This window comes from Homo sapiens, chromosome 10 (genome assembly GCF_000001405.40).
Source record: "Homo sapiens chromosome 10, GRCh38.p14 Primary Assembly".
Classification (NCBI taxonomy): Eukaryota; Metazoa; Chordata; class Mammalia; order Primates; family Hominidae; genus Homo; species Homo sapiens.
Window position 1 is genome coordinate 131,751,985 of NC_000010.11, and position 16,210 is coordinate 131,768,194.

The 16,210-nt window shown below is 48.8% G+C and overlaps 3 annotated features.

Moving 5' to 3' along the window:
- Nucleotides 1-1,200: an enhancer, noted in NCBI's record as "BRD4-independent group 4 enhancer chr10:133584321-133585520 (GRCh37/hg19 assembly coordinates)". NCBI's record gives its function as "activates an origin of replication core promoter dependent on BRD2, P300/CBP, MED14 and CDK7 cofactors, and independent of BRD4, by STARR-seq in HCT116 cells {active_cell/tissue: HCT116}" and the evidence as "EXISTENCE:reporter gene assay evidence [ECO:0000049][PMID:35650434]".
- Nucleotides 4,112-4,612: an enhancer, noted in NCBI's record as "H3K4me1 hESC enhancer chr10:133588432-133588932 (GRCh37/hg19 assembly coordinates)". NCBI's record gives its function as "activates a minimal SCP1, AML or CMV promoter by ChIP-STARR-seq in primed H9 embryonic stem cells {active_cell/tissue: H9 hESC(primed)}" and the evidence as "EXISTENCE:reporter gene assay evidence [ECO:0000049][PMID:30033119]".
- Nucleotides 4,613-5,113: an enhancer, noted in NCBI's record as "H3K4me1 hESC enhancer chr10:133588933-133589433 (GRCh37/hg19 assembly coordinates)". NCBI's record gives its function as "activates a minimal SCP1, AML or CMV promoter by ChIP-STARR-seq in primed H9 embryonic stem cells {active_cell/tissue: H9 hESC(primed)}" and the evidence as "EXISTENCE:reporter gene assay evidence [ECO:0000049][PMID:30033119]".

The following is a 16,210-nucleotide window of genomic DNA, read 5'->3' on the forward strand; positions in this document are numbered from 1 at the left end:
AACTGCAGGAGGCCCCGCCCTCCATATCAAGAAGCAAAGGAAGCAGGTAGGAGCACAGGCGCTGCGGGGGGAGGTGGAGCATCTGCGGTCGCATTCCCCTACCCGACAGTCCAGGTCCAGGTGACAGACAGGAGCTCAGAACACAGGATGTGAGTGCCCAGGTGCTGGCCAGTGGGCTCTCAAAGCTCAGGGTTACGGGGCCTCAGGGTGGGGCACTTTGGGCTGGCAGCCTCAGAGGCCGGGGGAGCTGTGGGGCTGGGGCTGGAGGTGGGAGCACATGTCGAGGAACCACAGAGGAGTCACCCCAGAAGCCCCCTTCAGTGGGTTTCTCCCGCTCACTGCAGTGGACAAGAGCTTGAACGTCTGCCCGGGGAGTCTGCAGCTTACCTGGGCCCCACCTGCCTCCTGTTTTCATATGACTCACAGCTAGGAATGGTTTTTACACGTTAAATAGTGGGAAAAAAATCAAAAGAGGAAAACTATTTCATGACACTTGAAAGTTAAATTTCAGGGGGGGTGAGTCAGCTTTCCTGGGAGCAGGGCCACAGCCGATGGGTTTTCCACCGACGGAGCGGCTTTCATGCTGCAGGCAGAGTGGAGCTGCCACAGCAGAGACCAAGTGGCCTGCAAAGCCTCCGGTATTTATTCTCAGGAATTTGAAGAAAAAGTTTGTTGACCTTTGCTGAAAACCGTCAAGACCCATTAAAGAGTTCTCATTTTAGAAGCCCAAGGAGAAAACGTGATGTGGAATGCGGCTCCACAGAGAACTCACCACTTCCTCCAAGGAGGAGCGACCAGGCAAAGGGGACCTGTCCTGGGAGTTGTTCTCCAAGTCTCTCTGTCTTTCCTTGATCATTTCAAAGGGGCTCCGGGGCTTTCTGTCTTTGCTGGTGCTCTGTCTCTGCTGTTTATCCGTCTGTCTTCTGTTTCATTTCCGGTCTTTCTCTTGGCCTTATGCATAGCTTAAGACCATAATCCACAGTTTTTACACACAATTCACATCAGGAAAAGCTTTGATATGGTCAGAAAGGTTACTGTGTGTGCTTTCAATGTAGCAGAAGGCATTGAACACTTCCAGGTTGTCTTTGGCTGGGCTGTTTTGCACCTCAGTAAAAATAGACATTTGCCTGGAGAAGGCTGATGATGGTGCCGCAGAGGACTCTTGCATGGAGATGCAGCTGAAGTGTAGACCCATAGAGATACAATTGATTCCTGCCCTACAGAAAAGCGTTTGCAAGCATTACATTGTTGTTCTACAAGATACAGCTTTGTATCTAGCAGCAAATTCATTTCCACATTCCCGATTGTATATACAGTATCTTCCTCCGGGTCTCACTGAAACTGGTTTTTATATTACTGGTTCCTTGTTAACCAATGAGTTAAATGAAAATCTTTGGCATGAATTTATTTTATATTCGACTTATGATTTTGGCTTTTAAAAAGATTATTCATGAACTTCCGTGACCTCAGGTGACGACGTGATACTTACGAGCTCAAGGATGTTGGAGCAGCTGTGTTGTGGACCAGACAGAGCAGTGTGGAGGCCCCACGAGTAGCCACACCTGGGCCACTGGCCTTGGGAAGTGCTCCTTCCTCCCCGGCAAAGATACAGCCAAGGATGCCTCAGAACCCACTGACCTGGTGTCATCTCTCCTATGGCTTCAGATGCAAATTGAAAATTGAGTGTTCTGAAGTCAAAGCAAAATTCAAAAAACTGCTTCTCAGTTCTCCTTAACTTGTTCACACATTGAGATTTGTGACTCGTATTTTACTTAATGCAAAATTGTTCTGCAGTCAGTGACAACTTCTTACAAGCATGCATGCTAATTTGTTTTACATCAACACCGAATAGATGAAATACTTTTAAAATTATAGAATACAATACAAATGCTGGATACAAGTGGATTATGAGCATAGCACCTTTCCCTGACCCTACAGAACTTTTGATACTTTTTTAAATTCAATGCTCAATCAACACACCACTTTAATTTGGCATAGGCCAGTTTGGCTGGTCAGGCTCTTTTGGTAACTATCTGAAGGTCCCAGTGGTTAGAGGCAGGTGGGAGCTGTAGTCCCCTTCTTATCAGTGACAAGGGGAATGGCACAATGAAACAAGTCTTAGACCAGATTTTGCTAAATGTTTCCAAGTATGCACAAAATCCTGTTCTTGTGGCCAGGGGTAGCCCCGCTGTCAGCCCTCAGGAATTCCGAAAAGTGCTTCGCCTGAAAACTTGACTCTGAGGCCACTGCAGTGATGTTCCGGCGGCAAGCACCAAACACGCACGAGTCAAGTCTCAGAATCCTGCCTGCAGCGCAGGGGAGAGGTGGGCAGGACTCACGGGTTCTGCCTGCAGTGCAGGGGAGAGGTGGCCAGGACTCACAGGTTCTCCCTGCAGTGCAGGGGAGAGGTGGCCAGGACTCATGGGTTCTCCTCGCAGCGCAGGGGAGAGGTGGGCAGGACTCACGGGTTCTGCCTGCAGTGCAGGGGAGAGGTGGGCAGGACTCACGGGTTTTCCCTGCAGCACAGGGGAGAGGTGGGCAGGACTCACGGGTTCTGCCTGCAGCGCAGGGGAGAGGTGGGCAGGACTCACGGGTTCTGCCTGCAGCGCAGGGGAGAGGTGGGCAGGACTCACGGGTTCTCCCTGCATCGCAGGGGAGAGGTGGGCAGGACTCACGGGTTCTCCCTGCATCGCAGGGGAGAGGTGGGCAGGACTCACGGGTTCTCCCTGCATCACAGGGGAGAGGTGGGCAGGACTCACGGGTTCTCCCTGCAGTGCAGGGGAGAGGTGGGCAGGACTCACGGGTCCTCCCTGCGTCACAGGGGAGAGGTGGGCAGGACTCACGGGTCCTCCCTGCGTCACAGGGGAGAGGTGGGCAGGACTCACGGGTTCTCCCTGCAGTGCAGGGGAGAGGTGGGCAGGACTCACAGGTTCTCCCTGCATCGCAGGGGAGAGGTGGGCAGGACTCACGGGTTCTAGGCCCCAAGGAATGCACTAAAGGTATCAGGGTGCTGGGCTCTTGAAACTCCAGCTGCTTCCAGGGACTGGCTGGGCCTGAACAATCTTTCTAAGCCTCTGCTTATATTGAATAATCCTCAGTTTACCAGTGAAAAACAATTTCTAACATCTGGTATCTGCACCAGAATTAAACCCTCTGGTATAGATTTCGATAATGACATTGAAAGTGCTAAGTAACCACCTGCACAGTGTGGATCCATGATAGAAGATTTCAAGCAGCTCCTAAGATGTAGATTATGGTTAACTTACACAAGCATTGCAATTTTTATGCATAAGTATGTTTGAAGTTAATTACCACATAGGTAATAATACTGCCTCTTTCTCAGGGGACGGAGAGGAATTCGTACACCAGCATATGAACCTCACCCGAACTCCAGGAGGGACATTGTCATTAGTCACCAGGGTTGGATCCATGCAAGGGGCCTGGCACTAGGAAGGCAAGGCCTGGTCTTAGCCTCTGTCATTGCTGTCTTCAAAGTCTCAATGGTTTTTTATTTTTGTTTTTGTGTTTTATTTTGTTTTGTGTTTTAATGTGTTGTTTTTTTGTTTTGTTTTGTTTTGTTTTCGCAACGTGTGGCAGGCCAGGTCTCACTAACAACTGTTTTAGTACTGACTGAGTGGTTAAGTTAAATATTAAAAGCCAGTGCCCTTATACAAAGGCTAGGCCTTTCCTGGACTTTAAAGGATGACAAAATGACAAAGAAATTTTTAACAGAACCCATTTAGGATTAAATAAGTTTTATTGTGGGTCTGAAGAAACTCTCCAGACCTCCACAAACAAGTTGATTGGGGATCTGAAGGAAATCCCCAAACCTCTGTGATCTCACAGGAGACAAGAATAGACTTACACAGGCATTGTAATTTTTATGCATAAGTATGCTTGAAGTTAATTACCACATAGCTAATAATACTGCCTCTTTTTTAGAGGACAGAGAGGAATTCGTACACCAGCATATGAACCTCACCAGAACTCCAGGAGGGACGTTGGCACTAGGACGTTGGCATCACCCCTGCACCTGGACCCATCTAGATGAAGTAAACTTACTGAGGCTCCAGAAGAAGGTCTTCAGGACTCAGACGTCAGTTATAGATTAGAAGAAGTTAATCACTTATGTCTGTAGACGAATGTACACTTACATGTAGACATAGAGCTTAGAAGGTACATAAGCTCTGGAAGACTTTGTAATTTTGAGTTAGTCTGGCGATAATTTCCAGGCCTTCTCCCTGTAACCGGTTGCAGAAATAAACACCCTCTTCCTCCTCAGTTTTTCTGCGTCTCATTATTGGGCCATGAGAAATAGAAATAGCAGCCCGACCTTTAGTGTGGTCTGGAAACAAAGGGGCCTCCCATTTTCATTTTGCACTGAGCTGTGCAAATTCCGTAGCTGGTCCTGCTAACTACTGTTTCAGCCCAGGAGCTCTGAGCTGACCCCTTCTGCAGCGGCTCCTCGCCACCACCTGCCTGGAGCCAGGGGATTCTGGAATCTCATCAGGGAGGGGCTCATATGGCACAGTGTGGGGTGGCTAGGACCACCCAGCAAAGTCTGAGGCAGTCACACGTACACGTGAGGGGCGGGCACTGGCTGAGGAAAGTCCCCAGAAGGAAAACTGTCTCTGAGGCCTGAGGTGGTGACGGCCGGCTCCCACTTCCCCACCATGCCCAGGGTCTTCCCAACATGTCAGGCAGAGTTCCCCGGGATCAGCTTCTGCTTCTGTAGCTTCTTCTGGAAACCTCTCCCCATGCCTTCTTTCCTCATCCTCTCAAGTCTCCTGCTTTATCTTCTCTTTATTCCCCCACACAAAGGAAAGGCTCTGCTCCCCGTTCACCACCAGCCGTGATGGTGCAACCAGCCCAGAGCTCTGAACCCAGGCAGAGGACCCTTCCCCGAGGCCTGGAAGTGCTTGGTCCTCCAAAGACACAGCAAGGGGAGGAAACTGTTTAATTCTATTCTTCTAATGCAACAAAGAAAAGGAAGAAACACCAACAGGCTGCCATGTTAAACCCACATGGAGGTCTAACTTTTATGTATGGGCACTAGAATCATTCAGACACCTGCTACGAGCACTGGGGAAGTAGTCAGCTTTTTAATTTATTTTTTTTTCTGTTTATCATGTTATCCCTGATCTTCCCTTGGATAGTACATGCTAAAGACCGATCATGTGCATTTAAGAAATGGGGGTGGCCGTACAGGACAGGTGCCACTTGTGAGTCCTTCTCAGAACACTTAGTTAACAGTTTACATTTCTTTGAGGGGGACGATGAATCACAAAAACAACAACATTCTCACTTGCATGTCCTTAAAGGATACGACGTTCATAAAATGGTTACATAAAAACACGTGGCAGAGATTTTATTTAACTTATTAACAAGTGAAGAAATCATAAATTATTACAATTGGTTAAAAAAAGAATTAAACATCTCTACCCACACACAGGCAACCAGGGATGATGACATAGTGTGTGAGTAAATCAAAAACTGGTCATTGTCCAAGGTCAACTGTATGACCCGGATAAAATGTATTTGCAGTTCTACGGGCCACAGTCATTTACATGCCTGTAAGTTTCTATGCCATAAAATAAAATGAAATAGCCCACAGACAGTGAAAGACACTGGCCCCTCCAGAATCAGGCGGCACAGGGTGTGGTAGACCAGACGTGTGGTGACCGCTATTCCTGCATGTCAAAGTCTTGCCATTTTTCCCAACAATATATTAAAAAGCTAAAAGTTCTAAGCCCGTAGGACACCAAGGCCTTCTCTACTCTGCCTTGTGTGTTTTTCGGGGAACTGCACAGCGCTGAATGCCCGGTCAATAACACGGCTGATTGGGTGCTTGCAGGCACTCAGGGTGAGAAGGAGCGGCAACGTCACACATTCCACTCGATATCCGCAGCTCAAGCACACAGAACAGCAGCTCCACACGAGCACTCACTGGAACCCGGAGCAAAGGAAGAGCCCCTGGGAACCCCCCAGCCTGGGAGCTCCACTGAGGAGGGTGTGAGACATCACCAGCTGTGCCTGCATCCCCATCACAATCTCATAGAGAGCGGGAACAGCTTCCCAGGGAACAGCTCCGCACCCTGGGCATGAACACGAGTGCGTGTGTGTGACTATGAGAGTGTGTGAGGGTGTATTTGGGCATGAGTGTGCTGTGTGCATGTGTATATGTGTGTGCGCACATGTGCATGTGTGCATATGTGTGCATGCATGTGCATATGTGTGTATGTGTGCATGTGCATGTGTGTGCATGTCTGCATGTGTATGTGTGTGCGTATGTGTGCATGTGAGTGCATGTGCATGTGTGTGCATGTCTGCATGTGTGAATGTGTGTGCATGTCTGCGTGTGTGCATGTGTGTGCATGTGCATGTGTGTGTGCATGCATGTATGCATGTGTGTGCAAGTCTGCTTGTGTGCGTGTGTGTGCATGCGTGTGTGTATGCATGTGCGTGTGTGTGAATGCACGTGTGTGCGTATGTGTAAGACTTTGGAGGACAAGGGGTTGACATGAGAGTCATGAGAAACCAGCCTGCTGGGGCCAGCGGAGCCCATGAGGGAGCTAAGAGGGAGCTCCCTCCCCACACAGGCCGATGGGCAGAGGCCCAAGCCCTGGTCAGCCCCTTGGCTTCCTCCCCTCACTCCAGGGAGCCAGTCTTTCCACCCAGGAAGGCTGTCAGCTCCACAACAACCCCAGGGCTGTGTACCCAACAAGCTCCACCCAGGTGGCCTCCCAGGAGCCCACAGAGCAGATGAGATTCTCCCTGGAGCGGAACACATGAGCAGAGTGGCCAGCACCTGCTCCTCCACAGAGCAAAAGGGACATGCTGCTTCCGGAGGCCCAGCCCTGGCCCCGGAGAGCAGAGAGGGACGTATGGAAAGAATGAGGCCTCGGCTTGCCTGCTGGGGCATGAAAAGAAATCACAAGGCAACAAAACAAAAGAAACAAGGCTGGGGTGCTGCTTCCATTTCACAGGAAGAGGCCTCAGAGGAGCCGTGACCCAGGGGCCCCACGTCAGGGTCACCTTCAGTGCGCAGGTGGCTTTGCTCCCGCCCACCCTCCCCCAGCCCTGGAGACTCCCATCCAGGAAAGAGGCGGCCGGACTTCAGGAGCCCCACAGCCAGCGCCAGCCCTCTCTGCTTAACTGGGACATGCCCAGCTTCCCTCAGCAGCTGGCTCGCCCTGCGCTGACCTGCAGGGCCATCTTTAAGTCCACATCCCTCTACTGAAGAGGGACAAGTGGCTCCCTGCCCTCAGTGAAATCCAAAGTCATCAGTGTTGAGACCACAGGGCTGTGAATGGCAGCTGCCCTGTCAAAAGCATTCGAAGCAAGCGGCTGCGGAGAATCCTCCCTGAAAAATCTGTGGGAAAACCATGGCCGCAAAGTCTCACCACCCCGCACGGCACCATAAAAATACACCTAGGGTATTTTTCAACGTGAATGAATCAGAAGTGGTCCCTGCGGCTGCCTATCAATTACTGTCTGGCTGGGACCAGGCATCTGTGCTCCCCTTAGTAGTCGCTGCGTGGCTGGTGGTAGGACCCGGAGACCGGAGGCTGCGGGAGGAAGCCCAAGGCCCTTAACCTGGTCAGGACATCAGGGTGTTAGACGCCCTCTGCCCTGACAGGGAATCACTTCCCAAGCCAGTCACCGTGTATGGCTGTATTCGTACCTTACAGCCGCTGTGACAAATCCTCACAAACGGGGAGGCTCTAGCAGCACAGTTACCATCCAACAGCTCTGGAGATCCCACACCTGGCCTGGACCTCACTGGACTAAAATCAGGGTCTCAGAAAAGCTGTGTTCCTTTCCGAGGCTCCAGGACACATCCGCTTCCTCACCCTTTCCGGCTTCCGTGGGCATCTGCCTTCCCTGGCTGGTGGCCCCTAGGCCGTCTCAGAGCTGGCGGTGCAGCACCACTCTGGCCTCCACTGGCTCTGGCCTCCTCTCCTGCCTCCCTCTTCTGTGTTCATGGGCCCTGCGAAGACATCAGCTTCCCTGGGTAACCAGGAGGCTCTCCCCACACGCAGGTCAGCAGTGAGCAGCTGTAACTCTCCTTGATCATGTAACCCTCATACCCCCAGGCCCTGGGGCATTCAATGGGGACATCTTTGGGGCATTCTCCTGCCTGCATGTCGGAGCCTGGCATGTAGAGATGCTTGGGAAATAGTCATCCATGAGATGAATTTGCAGAGTTGTACCAATGAGGATAAAGGCTCAGAGGAGCCACGTGATGGCTGGTGATTACAGCTATCAGGTGAGACAACCAGGACTTGCACAGACATTGCAAGCTCACGTTATCAATTGCAGGATGTCTCTTCAGGAAGAAATGAACCCACATAAAGAAAACTTGTCACTTTTTAATTGGGAGATTATTCTGTCCACAAAATAATCGCTACCAGAGTATAGGCTTCAAAGTTACATCTTGAACTTGTGGTCAGGAGGGGGCAGGGCATTCACACTTCATTTTCTTCTCTGCTCCAGACACATGGCAGGCGCTGAAAAAAGCCATGAAGGATGTAGCCTGGTGTCCGCTAATGACAAGCACAGCACTACGGGTGGCCAAAGACCCCGGCCTGTGGACCTCAGGTCTGGTAATGGGCAGCAGGGCCAGCGGGCTGCTTCTGAACGGTGGAGAGACTGAAACTGCCCATACAGGGTGGAGGAACCCCAGCCAGGTGCCCAGCATGAAGGGACCCTGCCCCCCCAATAAAGCTGCCAGACCTCCATGAGGACTTCAGCACCCTGAACCCACAAGCCAGGGTAGGCAGGAGGCCCTGAACCTCAGGGTTCAGTAGTGAGTCAATCCCCTGACAACCATGGCTCCATCTGGGAGACACCCCATGCTCCAGTGGGACAGAAGCCCAACCACTGCCATGAGACAGGGCCTTTAGGCAGGAGGCAACTGCAAAGCCGCTAGAAAGAAGTGCAGCAGGAATGGAGGGAGGGCAAGAAAGAGAAACGGACTAACAACAAAACAAAACAGAGCAAAACTCCTCCCACTGACAATGAGTCTGCAAACAATAAGACTCCAGCTGAGAGGAAACCTGATGCTGAGACCCTGAGGACAGCTTATCCTTCAGCAGCATCCTGGCACCCACCACCGAAACAGAGAAGCACTGAAGCACTGAAACACCAAAACACTGAACAGAGAAACACCGAAACACTGAAACACCGAAACAGAGAAACACTGAAACACCAAAACACCAAACAGAGAAACACCAAAACACTGAAACACCGAAACAGAGAAACATCGAACAGAGAAACACCAAAACACTGAAACACTGAAACAGAGAAACACCGAAACAGAGAAACACCAAACAGAGAAACACCGAAACAGAGAAACACCGAACAGAGAAACACCGAAACAGAGAAAAGGTGAGATATTTTGAACCTATTTCAAATCCATGGGCCAGCACAGTGGCAATGCCTGGACAGGCCCTGAAAGGGAGGTGAAAGCAGAGCCTGGGGGTGCACCCAGCCAACAGCACTTACCCCACAGGTACACGCCACACCTCAGAGCCCCCGAGCACTGTGGGGAGAAGAAGATGGGGCCCAGCACTCACCCACAGCAGGGAAACACAGGAGACCCCTAGATGAATCTGGGACCATCTGTGGGCTATGCCCAGTGTAAGAGTGAACAACAAATAAACCGATCACTCAGAAGGGGGCAGAAAGAAAATTTACCTGTCTCAACCCTGGAATTATGTAAAGGGAAAAACGTAATCTCATCTTGTAGTCGTAACAGCAAATGGGTCCTCAAACAGGTTTGTGATCAATGAGGCTACCCTGTGTGACCCCGAAAACCTCAGGATAAACTTTAAAGTAGTTCCAGATATAGATGGCCCAAGTAACCTCAAAAGTTGAAAGAGAGAGAAAGGAAGAAGAAGGAGGAAGAGGAATAAGAAGAAATGGAAAGAAGGAGGAAGGAAAGGGAAGGGAAGGGGAGAGAAGGGGAGGGGAGGGGAGGAAAGGAAAGGGGAGGGGAGGGGAGGGGATGGGAGGGGAGGGAAAAGGAGGGAGAAATGGAGAAAAAGTCCTCTCAACTTCAACCCAGGTCTCAAAGAACTCCCAATTCAAAGGAAGATGAGTTCCCCACACAACATACACAAGGAACAAAGGTGCCATGAGTGTAAGTGAGTGGGAAAAACAGAAAAGCAAAAATAGATTCAGTAAGACCATAGATATTGGAAACACCAGACATATAACATTAATATAATATTAACATTTTAACATGTTTTAAAAATTGGAAGGAAGTTTCAAAAGGAAGATTAAATGTATTAGTAAGAAACAAGATATTTGAAAAATAAAACTTCTGGTAAAATATGAGTGAAAAGCAGCAGACTAGCTGGAGTTTGAGAGAAACTTGGTAAGATGTGTCAGAAGATGTTATCAGGGATGCAGTCCAGAGACAAAGAGATGGAAAGTATGAAAGTGATGGAAAACATTAAGACATGGAAGATAAGATGAATTAGGTCTCACATTAATCTATTTGAATTTCAAAAGGGAGTAGAGAGAAAAATGAGAAGGAGGCAGTATTTAAAGAGATAACAGCTAATAATGTTCGAAAAACAAAAAGACACTAAACCTCAGATCCTAAAATCCGCCCCCTCAACTTTCAAGCAGGATGAATATTATAAAATCCACACCAAAATGCATTATTTGAAACTAAAAAACATCAAAGACAATGAAAACAATCTTAAAAGCATCTAGAAATAGCTGGGGGTGGCGGGGGAGGGACTGTTGCGTACAAAAGAAAAACAGATTAACTGCTGACTTCTCAATAGCAAAATGCAAGTTAAGACAGTTGAACATCTTCAAAGTTCCAAGACAAATAGTTTTCAACCTAGAATTCTACACCAATGCTAGAAGTCTCTAGAATGAAGATGAAACAAAGATATTTCAGGAAGATAGCACTAAGTTTGTCACCATGCAAATTAGCTTTGCTACAGCACAAACCACCCCAGAGCTTCACGGTGTAAACCCTCATGCTCCTGAGAGTTCACTGGGCTGTGGACAGAGGGGCCAAGCTGACTTCTGCTCTCCCCTGCACCTGCTCCTGAGAGTTCGCTGGGCTGCGGATGGAGGGGCCAAGCTGACTTTTGCTCTCCCCTGTTCCTGCGGTCAGCTGGCATCTGGTCAGCTGCTGGGTGACCCAGGATGGCCCCCTTTCCACACCCGCTGCTGCCTGGGACCTGAACGCTCCTGTTCAGGTTCATGCACAAGGTGGCCCAGGGTCCAAAGCAGGAGGAGAGCAAGCCCCCCTCCACCGCCACAGGCAAGCACCTCACACACATCTGCCAGTATCCCCTTTCCAAGCCAGCTCCAAGGGGTGGAGAAGCAGGCTTGGTAGGGAAAGAATGTATGGGCAGTTTTGCAGCCTACCACACACCAAGAGACCCCAGGCAAAGGAAATTCTAAAGAATGCAGTTTGGGCAGAAGGGAAGGACCTCAGACGGAAGGTCCGTGATGCAAGAAGAGTGAAGATGGTGGGAACTCATGGCATTGAAACAAACATTGACTCATTACAAACAAGGCCTGCTCTGCGGGAGTCGGTGGGGAAAGAATCCCGGACAAAGATGCAAGAGGTTCAGAAATAGACGATCAGAATTTCAGCACTGAAAGATCTACGGTTGTTCAAAAAGGAGAATGAAAGCATTGGCACTCCGGGACTAGATGAATTATATATATGTTAAAATATCTAGGACATCTGCTAAGAATAGGTGTTTAATGTCTACCATCCAAACGAGTAGAGAGAAAGAAGTGGAAAAAGAAAAAGAACACTTGCGGAGAACCAAAAGCATTTTTACTCCCATGTGACTCTTGGTGAGTGAGGCTGCATCTCTGAACAACAGAAACCTCTTCCTCAGAATGGCTGTGGCAGCCCTGCCCCCTCAGGGTGCAAAGAAGAGGAAAGGGAACTCATCCCGGGGGCTGGCAGGAGTGCACACATAGCAAACAGGGGCAGGATGAGGCTCTCTTCAAAAAGAAGAAGACAGCACACAAAACCATCAGTCTGAACATAAATGTTAGAAAACTGTCTAACAAACACTTTAAAACCCCACCATCTTAGCCATAGCTTTTCATATTTCAACATCTCTGAAGTCTGGACATATCTTTCCATAAACAACATGACCTTGTTTAATCGGCAGCATTGTTTCTTTCTAAAGAGCACACAAATGGCTGGTGCATCATATAAGCAATGGAATTTTAGAGTAAATGAAAGGCAGTAGATATCATGATGAATAGGAAGTGCTCGGCATCCCAGCTGCTGCGGAATGACAGCAGGGAGCCCCTCACTTCTCTTGCTGCCCCTGCTCTCCCCAGTGCCCCCAGTCAGCAGAGTCCGACACGGAGCTGCTGGCGATGACCACTGGGGAAGTCTCGTGCAGACCCTAGCCCTGGCATCAAAGGGCTTGTACTGAAGTGTAAGTAAATGTCAAAGAAATAAGTCAAGGCCCAGTGAGGAATTTTGAAACAGAACAGGCAGAAATAAAACAAGAAGAGGTAAATGTGAAAAAAAAAAATCCAACCACAAATCTCGGAGATTGCAAAATGCAGTTCCTGAAATAAAGAAATAATCCAACCAATATGATATATCCCAGACTGGAAAGAGTTGAGAGGAGAGTTTGTGAATTGGAAAATGTTGATGAGGAATTCGTTCACAACACGGTACAGAAAAACCGTAAAATTAGAAGTGTGAAAGAAACTTGGAAGAGAGATCGAAATGATCCAGTGTTCACCTACTAGGAGTTCCAGAAGAAGAGAATTATGAAAACTCAGCATCTGAACAGATAGTGGCAATATTTTTCAAAAACTGAAGGAATGCAAGTCTAAGTTGAAAGCAGGTTACATAAAAAATAAATTTAAAGGTAAACACAAGGAGTGAAACCGAGGGTTAGCTGTACACGAAATATTTTACAGCTGTGGGCTGAGGTTGGATTCCGCAGGAGCAGGCCCCGAGAGAATTAAATGCTGGTCCAGGAGGGGACAGAGGCTGTGCAGGAGTGTGATGTGGACAAATCGCATGGTTCTGAAGACAGTGCGGGTGACACCTCTGGGCGGTCCTAACTGGGGCTGCCCCTGCAGCACATGCCTTCTCAGGCCTTTGTGGACATCTGTGTGCTGCAGAGCGGGCTCCTGCAACCTGACAGCAGCCATCCAGCAAGGAGGTTCAGTTCCTGCCTGCCGGGAGCTTGAGAGCAGGAGCATAGAAAAGAAGTCAAGGGAACATAGACAGATGGCATCAGCTCTGCCACCAAAGAGCCAAGCAGGGCCTGTGATGGGACAGCAGCTGGACAGGCTGCAGACCCCATCGAAGTAGCAACGGTCACCATGGAACTTTCCTCCTACCCACTGCAGCATAGGGAGCATAAAGAAGACAGTTCCACCACTCACCCTCACAAGAGAACCACCAAAGGATGTGCTTCAACAAGAAAAGTGGTGACTGTAGGAACAGTAATGAAGCATTGCTAAATTAAGAAGTAGAATCAGAGTTCCAAATCAACAATGATAAAATTGGAGGAACCTGTGGCCATGGTCAGGGAAGAGACATTGAGTAGCCAGGACCTTGGTCTGAGCCACGAGAGGGACGGGTTCCCAGACATGCCTTCTCTCCAGTGGTCCTCAGAACCCACTACACATCTAACATTTATTGAGCACCTCTCTCTGGCAGGATCTGCACCAGATTCTGGGCTACCAAGACCAATGAGGCATTGCCTCGCGCTCAAGCCGGTTACCATCCCTGCTGTGGGAAGAAGGATTGATAGGCAAGCCTTACAGCCTCAGGTAAGAATTCTAACCTAAGTTATGATGAAAGTATCCACACAAAAAGATCGACCTTGCAGACATCCCTTTTACCTCTTGCAACCCCCTTCAGGTAGGCTTGACCCTTCCTGGTGGCAGGCAGGGCCCTCCTCCGATCAGTGGCCAGCAGGATCATGATGAAGCCATTTCGCACCCCCGCTCTGCCTCTCACAGCTGAGCAACATTGGACCCGTTACTTACCCTGTCTGTACCTCAGTTTCTTCACCTATTAAACCAAACTGTCATACCCCATACGGTTGAGGGGAGGATTAAAGTGCAGTCATGAGTCGCTTAATGATGAGGATACATTCCAAGAAATGCATCCCTGGGTGACCTCATCGCTTTGTGAACAATGCAGAGTGCACCTGTGCACACCTGGACAGCACGGCCCACAACACAGCAGCCTGCATGACACAGCCCACGGCACACCAGCCTGCACGATACGGCCCACGGCACAGCATCCTGCACGACGCAGCCCACGGCACAGCAGCCTGCAAGACGCGGTCCACGACACAGCAGCCTGCACGACACGGTCCATGGCACACCAGCCTGCATGACACGGCCCACAGCTCCTAAAACAGCAACAAACCTGTCCAGCAGAGGACTGTACTGAGTACCGTAGGCAATTGTAACGCAGTGTTGTTTGTGTGTTTAAGCATATCTAAATATAGAAAAGGGACAGTTAAAATAAGGTTAAAAACCTTTTTTTAAAAGGGCATACCTCGGGTGTGGTGGCTTACGCCTGTAATCCCAGCACTTTGGGAGGCCAAAGCGAGTGGATCACCTGAGGTCAGGAGTTCGAGACCAGCCTGAACACGGTGAAACCCCACCTCTACTAAAAATACAAAAATTAGCTGGGTGTGGTGGCACATGCCTGTAGTCCCAGCTACTTAGAAGGCTGAGGCAGGAGAATTTGCTTGAGTCCATGAGGCGGAGGTTGCAGTGAGCCAAGATTGCACCACTGCACTCCAGCTTGGGTGACCGAGCCAGAGTCTATCTCAAAAAAAAAACAAAATTTAAAAGGTCAGACCTGTATAGGGCACTTATCATGAATGAAGTTCACAGGACTGGAAGCCACTCTGGGTGAGTCGGTGAGTGTGTGGTGCATGAATGCGGAAGGCCTAGGACATTCCTGTACACCACAGCAGGCTTTCTAAATACTGTGCTGCTGAATTTATTTTAAAGTCTTTTTCTTTCCTCAATAATAAATTAACCTTAGCTTACTGTCACTTCTTGATGTATAAACTTTTAATTGTTTTAAGCTTTTTTACTCCTTTGTAATAACACTTAGCTGAAAACGCACATTGTACAGCTGTACAAAAATATGCCTTCTTTATATCCTTATTCTATAAGCTTTCTTCTACTTTTATTTATTTATTTATTTATTACTCTTTCAACTTTTTTGCTTAAAACGAAGACACAAACACACACATTAGTTTAGACTACACAGGGTCAGGAGCATCCCAGTGTCACGAGGTCATAGGAACAGTTCAGCTGCACTGGGGTCTCATGGGAGCCCCACCGTACATGCCATCCGAGGGACAGAAGCACCTTTATGTGGGGCGTGACTGTAACTCATATACGTGAAGCTCTCACGACAGTGCCTGTAAGCACATAAGGTGCTTATTTTTCATGTGTTTCATCATTATTATTAGACTATTAGAATATGCCGTGACTATTAGAACATCATAGATAAAACGCTGCTGGCCTGGAAACGCTGCTTCTGTCCAGCTCTCATCTAACGTTCGACCTACTCCATTGGGCTCTAATACACTCCTAGCTCATGGCACTCAGAATCACTAGTGAAGGAATGTGATTTAGACAACTTCCCCTTTCTCCTGCCCCTCCTGCCAAATATCCAAGTCCTTGTCTTTATCTTGATGATCAAGGCAGCTGTGCAACCCCTACATACATGGGCTGTGGGCCCTTCCCCAAACACAATCGTTATTTGTATGGAACTATATATACATATATGTGTTTCACAGCACACTACTATTGACCTTGTCATAATAAAGTCCTTGTTTTGCTTCAGGTCCCATCGGATCCATCCATCAATAATCTATTGTCTTTTTAAAGGTTCACACTCCAGCATTATAAAGTGCTCATCTGGAAATTAGTCATTTCAATCATCTGATTTCATTCAGATCCACGCCTTAGGCCCCTGACGGAACTCGTGCCCAGCACTTCACATGGCAGAAACAAGGTCACTCGTAAATTACAGACGTTCCCTCTTGCCCCTAGCTCTGCTCTGCCAGTCTTCCACCCTCAGAAGGCCTCAGGCTTGTGACCAAATAAAAAAATAAATGCAAATGCATTCCTAGCTCTTTTGACTGTCAAGGGTTAGATTACCTTTGGAATTCTCCTGTAGCTTGGGCGAGCTCCCTGGGGTGCA